A 12,135-nucleotide genomic window follows, 5' to 3' on the forward strand; every position below is an offset into this window, starting at 1 on the left:
CTAAGTAGTTCTTATTCACACAGTTGTGCAACTATAGCTACTCTCTAATCCATAACATTTTTATCACCCCAGAAAGAAACTTGACTCCCCATTCCCTCATCCCTACCAACTACTAATCTATTTTCTGTCTCTATGGATTTGCTTGTTTTAGATATTTCATATAAATAGAATCATAGAATATGTGGCCTTTTATGTCTGGCTACCTTGACTTAATGCTTTCAAGGTTCATTTATGTTGTGGTATGAATCACTATTTTCTTCCTTTTTATTGCCAAATATTTCATTGTATGGATCTGTTTTGTTCATCTAGTTATCAGTTGGTGGACGTTTGGTGTTGTTTCTACTTTTTAGCTATTACAAATAATGCTGCTATGAACATTTGTGTAAAAGTCTATATGTGGACATATCTCTTAAGTATATAGGAGTGGAACTGCTAAGTCGTGTGGTAACTCTGTCGAACTTTTGAGGAACTGTCAAACTCTTTTTCTGAAGCAGCTGTATCATTTTATATTCCCAGTAACAACATATGAAGGTTTTAATAGTTCTGTATGCTTGCTAACACTTCTTATAATGTGTCTTTTTGATTGTAGCCATCCTAATGTACATACTGTACAAATGTTTATACATACCCAGTAAAAATGTTTATAAAAATATTTTAGCACTTACTACGTAATCATTGCTTCCATTTGTGTACATTGCTATTGGTCCCGTAAATTGATACATTTCTTGTAGTCTTTTTGGAAGGCTATTTGGCAGGAGCTATACAAACATTTCATTTTTTTATGCAAATAATTCAATTTCTATCACTTTAAAAATCTTATGAATATAACTCAAAAGGAAAAAGCTGCACACATAGGTACTTATTGCTCTTAATTATAATAGAATATTAAGAGAGCTTTATTTACTGGGAGGAGAATGGGTTAATATTCAATAGTGAGAATGCTATTTTAACTTGGTGAGCTGTTAAACATTTATTAAAACTTATATAGATCACACAGCAATATGGAAAAATATGAAATGTCAAGTGAGTATACTGCATTTATGGCTTTGTTAAAACATGGAAAATACAAAAAAAAGAAGGCAATATGAAAAGAAAATTAAAGCCTGGAAAAGGCTAACACATTTTCTTTCAATATGTATTTTTAAAGTTTTATCAAACAAAAATATAGAGAATTTGTCACTTAAAAAAACTAGTGCCAGTAAATTGTACCACGTTTTTGTACAATAGTAGCAAAATTGAATTTTAATTTGTGTTGTTTTTCCTTGATATGAGAGCTATAAATTATATAGCTTTTTAAGATTCTCAACAATTAATTGCAATTTTCATTAAATATCTCAAAGTAATTACAATAAAAATGTTTGAAATAAGATAATATGGGTCTGGCCTTTAAATGTTGATATGTTGACCAAGGACTGAAAGAAATGTCCAGAGCTTCACAGTTTCTGCTGGGTTGGGGGTGGAGGGATGGTGGGAGGAATGTGAATTGGGATTGTAGAATTGGAGTTGAGATAAGATCAGTTCGAAGGAAGAGTTTGTGTTTTTTTTATATCTTTGATGGTTTTAATTTATATAATAATCTATTTATATGTTATATATTGTAAATGAATTATTTAATTCCCGTTAGTGTTCTCTGAGCCAGATTCCAACTTCAGTTCTGTGGTCAATTGAAATACTTTAGAATGGATAATCTGCTATGAAATACTGAATCCATTTTGCTTCCTCTCTCTTGATTTTGAAAAATAATTGCTCTTTTCTGTTACAAGAGACTTTGTGGCAAGTGAGACAGTTTAAGTAAAAACTTAAAAGATAAGTAAATCTTTTGCTGTGTGTATTAATTTTGGCAAGCCTTCTTACTTGGGGATTAGCTTTTTGTTTCATAGAGTTCTTTAATATCTATTGAAATTATTTTGTTTGTTTCTTAAAGCAGTTTTTACAGTTATATATTGTTCCGAATTCATCATTTAGCTTTATATGTACATGCCAGTTAGAGTCAGAATGATGGGAATAAAATGATTTCATTCTGTCTGTATTATTCCCTAGAGGTTTGTGTTCACCAGAGTTTCTCTCTTTTTACCTTTTACTATATATTGAAACTACAAATGAAAGAGCTCAATTTCTTAGCATTTATAAAATAAGTACTCCAGTGTTATGTTTACCAAAAATGTTTGAGTGAGTCTTCTCTTTGTCTTTCTCTTTTTTAAAAAATTCAGGCTCTGCTGGTTCTTCATCAGTTAGATAGCATTGATTTGTGGAATCCTGATGCTCCTGTAGAAACATTTTGGGAGATTAGGTATATGTACTTTTATTTTTTAAATTCAACTTTTAAATTTTATTTTGTATTTTTGTCTTGAAATATTAACTCTGTAGTACTTAGTACATTGTAAAACTTACACTTCCAAAGGTTTTATGGTTTTGTATTTTATTTGACTTCAAATTATTAGAATTTCTTGTTTTAACTGTAAGAAAAGTATCACAGCAATTTAGAAAATAAATTTTAAGAATAGTGCTAAATTTTGTCACCCTAACATAAGTACTGTTGTTTGGTATATTACTTTTTTCAGATTTCAATGTGGTTACTACTGTATTTTTAATAGATTTTCATAGTTATAAGCCTAGAATGATAAAATTTTGTAACAATACTGTTTTTTCAGTTTTTTGAACTATGATCTTTCATAAACTTTCTGTAATACCAATGCTTTCGATGAATGAATTAATAATGGACACCTGCTTAGAAGAAAAAAATGTATGCAGAATTTTGTGGTCTGCTTCCTAGATTATACAAATCATTACATTTTAATGAGCATGAAGTCACCACACGGAGGAAAATGTAAATGTGTAAACCTCAAGTTTGCCATTATCTTATAAGAATGGGTGTGCTAAGTTACTTGGCAGCTGAATTAAACCTTACTCTAGAGTAGTGCTGTCCACTAGTAATATAATGAGAACCCCATATGTTAAAAACTTTTTTACTTACTACATTAAAGAGTAAAAAGAAGCAGGTAAAATTAATTGTAATTATGTTTTGTTTAACCCGGTGTATATTATCTATAATTTCAACATGTAATCAATATAAAAGTTATTAATGACATTTCATTCTCTTTTTTTTAATAAAGTCTTCAAACTTTGGTGTGTCTTTTATACTTACAGCACATCTCAATTTGAACAAGCCACACTTAAAGTGCTCAATAGCCACGTGTGGCTGGCTAGTGGCTACCATGTTAGACAGTGCAGCTCTGGAGTAGGGATCAGGAAACTTTTCTCTAAAAGGCCAGATAGTAAATATTTTAGGGCTTGTGGGTCATATAGTTTCTGTCATAACCATTCAGTTCTGCCTTTGGAGCATGAAAGTGGCCACAGACATGTGAATGAACGGGCATGGCTGTGTTTAACTAAAACTGTATATTTACAATAGCAAGTGATAGGCTAGGTTTGGCCTGTGGATGGTAGCTTGCAGACCCCCACTGTGGAGCACTGGGTTTATAGGCAGTCTCTGCTGTGCATGTGGTTTATTGTTTCTTCTTATGTCTACTACAAGGATGAGATACATGGATAGAAACACTGGGAGTTTAATGAAACATAGGGGGCTTATAGATAAATACTTGCTTTTTTTCTATAACCTGTAGACTTATTTCCTTTGATTATAATGCTATTGACACTTTGATAACTGTTTCTCTAAAACCTTACAAGAAAAACTAAGCTTCTCTAAACTTGTATTCATTATGGGAGAATGCCATTCTTATGTCTGGTTATATCTGCATTAGGTTATTGATGATGCTAGTAACAATGAACTTTATGTTACTGCAGCTCACAAATGCTTTTTTACATCTGCAAGAAATTAACTAGTCATCAAATGCTTAGTAGCACAGAAATTCTCAAGTGGTTGCGGGAAATATTGATCTGCAGGAATAAATTTCTTCTTAAAAATAAGGTAAGCAAAATGACATATTTAAAAAATGGAAGAATATTTGGAATGGTAATGGTGAGAGATTACTAAAGTGTTTTATAGCCAAATTAGGTTCTATTTCAGCTTCTCCTTCCTCCCAATGTTCTCAAAAGGAAATATGTATGCAGAGGACAATGACTGGCAAATCAGCATTTTAAAAATTATTCTGAGGCTTTGGCCTTAGAACCACACTGTTGATGAATTCTAGTTCTAGTTGAGTTAAATAGGTCTCTATGGGGCAGGCCTAGGAAAAGTGGGGGCTGCTATAACCAGAGTAGCTTGAGGAGCATATTGTATCTTTACTCTTAAGTTCATACATAAGACATAATTCATACATAAAATTTATTTTAACATATAGCTTCTGTAATTTAAGAATTCTATTATGGCGTAGATTTGGGAGTACTTGATTTAATGGGTTTTTGTCCAGTTCTAGAATCATAGCTCTGAGAAATCGTAAAGACCTAGATCTCATGGCTAGACTAGTCCAGAGAATTATCTATCAAGAAGCAAAAGGGAAACAGTTGAGGGTCCTCAATCTAGATTTATTTCGATTCCTCCAATAAGGGTTTCACCTCTTGAAAATATCAGGAGACTTTTTCATTGGGGTGGAGTGAAATGTTTTGATTCTGAACTATTGAAACATGGTGAGGTTGTGGAAGATAGAGAAGAGCCTTAAATTTCTTTTAACATATAGTTTCTGTAATTAATCAATTTAGGAATTCTGTTATGGCCTAGTTTTCGGAGTACTTGATTTAATGAGTTTTTATCTGGTACTAGAAGCATAGCTGTGAAAGACCTTAAATGTATGAAACTCATATCCTTTTCAGTATTTACAGCTTGTTATTAATAAATTGTCTCTTTAGAAATAGACTAATGGTGAAGTGGGTTTATTCACATGTGACTTATTTGATATGTTAATGTAGTGGAATTTGGCATTATTCCAAAGATACAGAAAGAGATTAGACTTCAGACTTTCATGGCCTCGCCTATGGTATAATCTCCAGAATGTGAGTATGAGGAATCCAGTAATGAATTCATAGTGCCCTGGTAGGCATAGTCACTCTTGTGACATACTTGGTGTATATACATACCAGAGTTAATTACTGGTCCAGAAGAACTTAATCTCAAGAGCCAATTTCTGGTTATCCCAACATGGCACAGTATAAAATCTTATGGAAAAAAAATCTTTGTCATTGAGATCAAATTATAGTTTTCATACAGTAGATTTATATTGTTGATGTTTTACTCATGTTTATGTCAGACTTAATTTATATTTGTAGAATCTACTGTTTCTGATGATTTAGAGAATGGGAAACTGAAAGAAATTTTAAAGAATTAAGTAAACCTTGTTTGTTCTAATGGGTTTCTAGTGAATCTCCTTCAAGTTGGGGCATAGAGATTGAGAGGAGAGGTTTTTTAGGAGAGTCTCAAACAGGAAGACAACTCAAATAAGTGTTTATTCCTCTTGGTTGTCAGTGCTTCAGTAAAGCTTATTTATTTATTTTTTTCTAGCAGGCAGATAGAAGTTCCTGTCACTTTCTCCTTTTTTACGGGGTAGGATGTGATATTCCTTCTAGTGGAAATACCAGTCAAATGTCCATGGATCATGAAGAATTACTACGTACTCCTGGAGCCTCTCTCCGGAAGGGAAAAGGGAACTCCTCTATGGTCAGCTTCTTCTGTACTTTTTCTGTATCATTTTATGTGCTCTGTTTGTTTTCTGAATGAAATTTGGTAAATTTCATCTAGGTAATATAGTGTAATAGTGAAAAACTGCTTAGAATCTAGTTCTATTACTGCTCTTTGTGGAACTTTGGGCAAGTTCTTAACATCCTTGTTCCTCAGTTCCTCAACTTTAAAATGGGGACAGTAATAGTTCCTGCCCCAGAGTTGTTAAAGAGGGTTAAATAAAAGGATGTGTAAATAGCACTTGACACTTACAAGCTATATCTGATAATTATAATTATTATAAACCTCCACTCCATAAAAAACCCATTCATACCACAGAAGTATAGAATTCGTACCGGCTAACAAAGGTACAGATTTACAGGGATAAAAACAAAGTATTTTGCTTCATGTTAAAGATAAGTGTTTCTGTGATTTGTGTTTGTGTGTATAATTTCTTTTAAATATAAATCATATTTCAAGTGAAAATATCACATCATTACAGAAGAGTTTATTTTCCAAACCAAAACTTTTTTCATTCCTAATTTTTAATGCAACCTTGTTAAGGAAGAAACACCTAAGCAGTATGATATTTACTAATGTCTGTTTTACTTGTAGAATTTGCATTTATTTTATCAATTATTTTCTCCATTTCGTGTTTGGAGAATAAGTAATTCAGAATCAAATGTATCTTCTACAGCAATATTTAGTTCTTGTTTATGCCCTTGTTTCAATGAGTGCTGCAGTGTACTTATTTTATTACTTCCCTATAGCAAGTAGATAGAATTTCCTGTTACTTCCTCTTTTTTTGTCATTTCTAATTGACTGGGAGGTACATTATATTGTTACTGCAGTAGATTTACGTTATGGTGTTTACCTGTCCATGTTAGAATCAGTTTACATTTCTGGAATCTGGAATAGGATAATATCTATTTGATTTGAAATTGAACAGATGGTAGCATTATGTTGGTCCAGATAATCTCATTTCTCATTTGGACAAGATATTTTGGGGTTTGAAAAATTCCTATAATGATTAAAGGAAAAAGCTCTTGTGAGTTATTGTATGCGGAGACACACACACACACACACACACACACACACACACACACACAGTTTATTGCATTGTTAGATTTTATACATAAAATTACCCAAGTTGCAAATATATGTCTTCCACCCTTGACTCTCAGGATAGTGCAGCAGGATGCAGCGGAACCCCCCCGATTTGCCGACAAGCCCAGACCAAACTAGAAGTGGCCCTGTACATGTTTCTGTGGAACCCTGACACTGAAGCTGTTCTGGTTGCCATGTCCTGTTTCCGCCACCTCTGTGAGGAAGCAGATATCCGGTGTGGGGTGGATGAAGTGTCAGTGCATAACCTCTTGCCCAACTATAACACATTCATGGAGTTTGCCTCTGTCAGCAATATGATGTCAACAGGTAAATGTGAATAGTGGTTTTTTTTACTCAGTCTGCCTCAAAGCACATGGCATCTGATTTTGAGAATGTATTTAAGGTCACTACTTTGTAAGTTTACAGGGGAAATTCAAGTAGCTTACTTGAAATCCTTTTCTGAACAAAGTAAGATGAAAATAAAAAGCATTTGAAATAAATTGTTAGTCTTCCACTGAGTTGTTAATATGCTATACATTTTAAAAATAACTGGCAGTAGATGTTACTATCAGTTATGATTATGTAATTTACTCTGCCTAAGTTGTAGATAGTGAAGTTTTACAAACATTGGCGTATGTTTTGAGTAAATTGTAGGTGGGAATAGCTATTTTATTCTGTGGACATTGTAGAGTCCAAGATAAGTACCTTTCCTGTGAGGTTAGTGAAAGGAAGTTTTTGGCTTTATCATTTGAAGCATTTGCTCTGCTCTTCCTACTCCTTTTGGGTGGAGCTTATCAGGTTCTCCATTGGCAGGCAGGGCTCTAAGTGCAGTAACTTGATTTGCTGTTGTATTTGCTTAGGAAGAGCAGCACTTCAGAAAAGAGTGATGGCACTGCTGAGGCGCATTGAGCATCCCACTGCAGGAAACACTGAGGTATGCCCTTAGCAACAGAAACACCCCTCCCAGGCGCCCACCCTCAATTTGGAAGCCTCTTGTTACATATGTGTGATCAGGAATAGCTTTTGAAGTAAATCCAAGATACGTGCATATTACAAGTATAATATCTGAGTATTTAATATACATCAAGTTTGAAACTTGGCTGTAGCTGATTGATGTTTAGCTCTAGACTAAGTTGCTTTCAAGTGATAATTGCCTTCATTTTAGGCTTGGGAAGATACACATGCAAAATGGGAACAAGCAACAAAGCTAATCCTTAACTATCCAAAAGCCAAAATGGAAGATGGCCAGGTAAGTCTGTAAAGTTGACTTTTGTCTGTTAACTGATCTGCTAAATATATGTACTTCACTTTGATAATCTTTCAAGAGTCGCTCAGTAAAGTAAACATATAGCTGTGTGAAGACTGATATTTAGTTGTGGTTTATCTAGACCTGTACTTTGTAATGTGGTAGCTACTAGCTATGTGTGACTATTTAACTTAAATTTTAACATAATTAAAATTAAATAAAATTTAGTTCCTCAATCATATAGTAACCACATCGCAAGTACCAGTAGCCACATATGACAATTACTTACTCTATTGGACAGCAGAGAGAGAAAATGTTCCTGTCATCACAGAAATACTGGGCAGCACTGCTAGAGACTGTTTGTTGCAGAGACCATTTCTTTACCTTTTCTTGCTCTTTCTCCCTTCATCAGGGTGTTTCACAGAATTTTCAGAAAAGGAGCAACAGAGGTAGAGATAAATTAACATGGAAACAATTCATTTTGCTATTTTGTTAGGTATTCTAATTAAGGAATGTCTTAGGCAGTAGATTGATCCCATAGAGTAAATGAAATTTTAAAATGTGGACAGTTCATTCAACTATTACTATTGACTATATTATCTGTTACTTTGGAAATTAATGATCAGTTAGTGTTTGTGTGTATTTGATTTGTAATGTTCATATTGCTCTCATTATTAGGTGATTTATAAAAACTGGTTGTTCCTCCATGGTGTTTTTGTCATGCTTAATTACAATAGGAAAAAGTTATATTTTTACGAAGCAAATGTGTGTACCTAATACCTTTATTTGGAGGGGACATGTAGCTTTAGAATGAAAGCTTTTGGGGGGATAACTGTTTTATATAATTACATACCATACAGTTCACCCATTTAAAGTGTCCAATTCAGTGACTGTTTTTAATGTATTCACAGAGTTGTGCAACCATCACCACAATCAAGTTTTAGAACAATTTCATCAATTGAGAAAAAAACCCCGTACCCTTTAGCTATCTCTGCCTCTAACCACCCCCCACCCACTTTCTTGCCTCTCTTCCCCCAACGTCTCTAGCCCTAGGCAACCATGAATCTACTTTCTGTCTTTGTAGATTTGCCTATTCCGGATATATTCTGTAAATGGAATTATAGAATATGTGGGCTTTTGTGATTAGCTTCTTTCACTTAGCATGATGTTTCCAAGGTTCATCCATGTGAAATCAAAACTTTTTAAAAGAAATTTGACACTCGGCTGATTATATTAGTGTATGATAAAAATAGATCAGTGGCTCTTTAAAAATGTATATGGTAATTTTATGGGTTGATTTTAATGTATATTTTACATTTTTTGTACTTTTGTCATGGAAGAAATGTTGGATAAAGCATAATTTGTCAAGTCTCAACTAATTAAGGTTTAATTCATGCTTTGCACAAAAATTTTGTGTTTAGGCTGCTGAAAGCCTTCACAAGACCATTGTTAAGAGGCGAATGTCCCATGTGAGTGGAGGAGGATCCATAGATTTGTCTGACACAGACTCCCTACAGGAATGGATCAACATGACTGGCTTCCTTTGTGCCCTTGGGGGAGTGTGCCTCCAGCAGAGAAGCAATTCTGGCCTGGCAACCTATAGCCCACCCATGGGTCCAGTCAGTGAACGTAAGGGTTCTATGATTTCAGTGATGTCTTCAGAGGGAAACGCAGATACACCTGTCAGCAAATTTATGGATCGGCTGTTGTCCTTAATGGTGTGTAACCATGAGAAAGTGGGACTTCAAATACGGACCAATGTTAAGGATCTGGTGGGTCTAGAATTGAGTCCTGCTCTGTATCCAATGCTATTTAACAAATTGAAGAATACCATCAGCAAGTTTTTTGACTCCCAAGGACAGGTAAAGTGTTCTCTTATTTTTCACCTTTCTCTATGAATAGAGTGACTTGTTTGAAATAAGCCTTTTTCTTTCAGATTATTTAAATTAGGTACTCACAGTTTTTAAAAATTTCCAAAAAATTGCAGAAAGAAGAGTCATCTCAATGTAGGGGTCAGCTTGCCTCTTAGGAACTCTGGTGTGTATGTGTGCCTAAGGGTATACGTGCCCTGTGTATGGGTACGAGTGTCTGCGTATATCTGTATGCTTATTTGGCTCTATGCCTGTGGGTGCACTTACTCTGTGTGTTTAGATCAGTCAGTTTCATCTCTCTAGGGGGTCTGTCTTCTGGGCATTGATGGCAAATCATTAATGTATTTGTTCTTTCTTTAGGTTTTATTGACTGATACCAATACTCAATTTGTAGAACAAACCATAGCTATAATGAAGAACTTGCTAGATAATCATACTGAAGGCAGCTCTGAACATCTAGGGCAAGCTAGCATTGAAACAATGATGTTAAATCTGGTCAGGTAAGCATTCTACTGAAATGTAGCAGAAACATTTTAAGAGATAAGAAAAACCTCTTACACACTGATACTGGTAGTAATTGATAAAATAACTGGCCATTCTTTACTGCACACAAACTAGGGTGTGACAGTAAGGTAGCCAGAAGTTGTGTACGTTCTTTTCTAAATAAATATCTTATTGTTTTCAAACTTACATTTAATTCGTTTTACTTGATGACTAAAGTATTTAGAATGCCTTCTCTTTTGTCTATATCTGATAATTTTTTTATTGTTTCTATGTCTATATAGGTATGTTCGTGTGCTTGGGAATATGGTCCATGCAATTCAAATAAAAACGAAACTGTGTCAATTAGTTGAAGTAATGATGGCAAGGAGAGATGACCTCTCATTTTGCCAAGAGATGAAATTTAGGTGAGTTCTCAAAAGAGCAATGTAGGGTCTTGTAAATCTTAATATGTCCAATGAAGTACAGAAAAAGAGTAGATATGCGGTTATTGGTAGAAAGGAGGACATGAAAAGAGAGCAATTTACATGTTTGTTTTTCTCTACATCTCTTCTCAAATTTCCCTAAGCTTTGTGCCTGTGACAATGCTCCCTTTTTCTAAAACTGTGCTATACTTGAGCTAAGAATTTGATTCTATTTCCAATCTGATACCATAACTAAGGGCCATGATGGAGGATAAATATCCATGTTGCTTGTTCCCTTCTGGCTTTTATGTCTGTGATAGCAGTATCTCTTTTATAAAGTCGTCATGTCACTTAGGTTATCTGGCAAATTATTTGCACTATAAGAAATCTTACGTGACTAAAGGTGTGTGTGTGGCTTCAAAAACATTGTTTGCTGTTTCTCTTTTCTCCACCATTCTATAGGAATAAGATGGTAGAATACCTGACAGACTGGGTTATGGGAACATCAAACCAAGCAGCAGATGATGATGTAAAATGTCTTACAAGGTAAAAAAAGAATGACCTTCAAGTATTAGTGGGTTTTACTGTGAGAGTTATAACTACTTAATTACAGCTTTATACTTGTATTTTGTGTGTATTTAAACTTTTGAGATGTCAAACTTTTGTGTTTGAAATATGTAAAGATGCTAATCTTTATTACTGCTTTTTTTTGACTGATAGACTTTCAGTAAAATTAAATGTGAAAGAGTGATATGTTTGGGAAGTTAGTGTTGTCAGTTTATGAAGAATAGTCTACAGTTATTGGGAAATAAGATACATAAAGCCTCAGATTGCATTTGTGTTATGATTAGATAGATAAAGGTATTATTTGAGGAACTCATTGTGTTGAATCTTTTTAAGAAATAATTGATTTCCTGATTCAAGCACCAGAGACAGAAAAAAAAGGAAGTAATCAAGTCTGCTTTAATGATACTTATTGACACATATCAGAAAATGATTAAACACTATGGACTGTATAATAAGCATTCACATATGTTTCTTTGACCAAGCCTAGCTTTATAATACAGTCTTCTCTGTCAGGGATTGGTTCCAAGAACCACTCCCCAAACCCCTGCCCACATCTTACTCCCATGAACACTAAAATCCACAGATGCTCAAGTCCCTGACTTAAGATGTCATAGTATTTGCATATAAACTATACACATCCTCCCATATATTTTTAATTATCTTCAGATTACTTATAATATCTAATACAATATAAATGTTGTATAAATATTTGTTATACCATATTGTTTAGGGAATAACAACAACAAAAAATCTGTACATGTTGAGTACAGATGAAACCCTCCTTTTTTTTCCCCCAAATATTTTCAATCCATGGGTGGTTGAATCCAT

General features: G+C 34.0%; 1 protein-coding gene across 3 annotated transcripts in view; it reads left to right on the forward strand.

Annotated features, from left to right (window-relative positions):
- NF1 (neurofibromin 1) overlaps nucleotides 1-12,135 on the forward strand; it is a 282,699-nt gene that overhangs the window by 124,663 nt on the left and 145,901 nt on the right. For 2 of the 3 annotated variants that reach the window (NM_001042492.3, NM_000267.4), the window contains exons 15-24: nucleotides 2,211-2,290; nucleotides 3,805-3,928; nucleotides 5,456-5,611; nucleotides 6,796-7,045; nucleotides 7,579-7,652; nucleotides 7,884-7,967; nucleotides 9,386-9,826; nucleotides 10,196-10,335; nucleotides 10,621-10,743; nucleotides 11,203-11,286. In NM_001042492.3, the coding sequence (NP_001035957.1) occupies nucleotides 2,211-2,290; nucleotides 3,805-3,928; nucleotides 5,456-5,611; nucleotides 6,796-7,045; nucleotides 7,579-7,652; nucleotides 7,884-7,967; nucleotides 9,386-9,826; nucleotides 10,196-10,335; nucleotides 10,621-10,743; nucleotides 11,203-11,286 (1,556 nt within the window). Of the gene's footprint in view, nucleotides 1-2,210; nucleotides 3,126-3,804; nucleotides 3,929-5,455; nucleotides 5,612-6,795; nucleotides 7,046-7,578; nucleotides 7,653-7,883; nucleotides 7,968-9,385; nucleotides 9,827-10,195; nucleotides 10,336-10,620; nucleotides 10,744-11,202; nucleotides 11,287-12,135 lie in introns of those variants that run through there. The other variant, NM_001128147.3, reaches the window with a different exon arrangement.

Source organism: Homo sapiens, chromosome 17 (assembly GCF_000001405.40).
Source record: "Homo sapiens chromosome 17, GRCh38.p14 Primary Assembly".
NCBI lineage: Eukaryota > Metazoa > Chordata > Mammalia > Primates > Hominidae > Homo > Homo sapiens.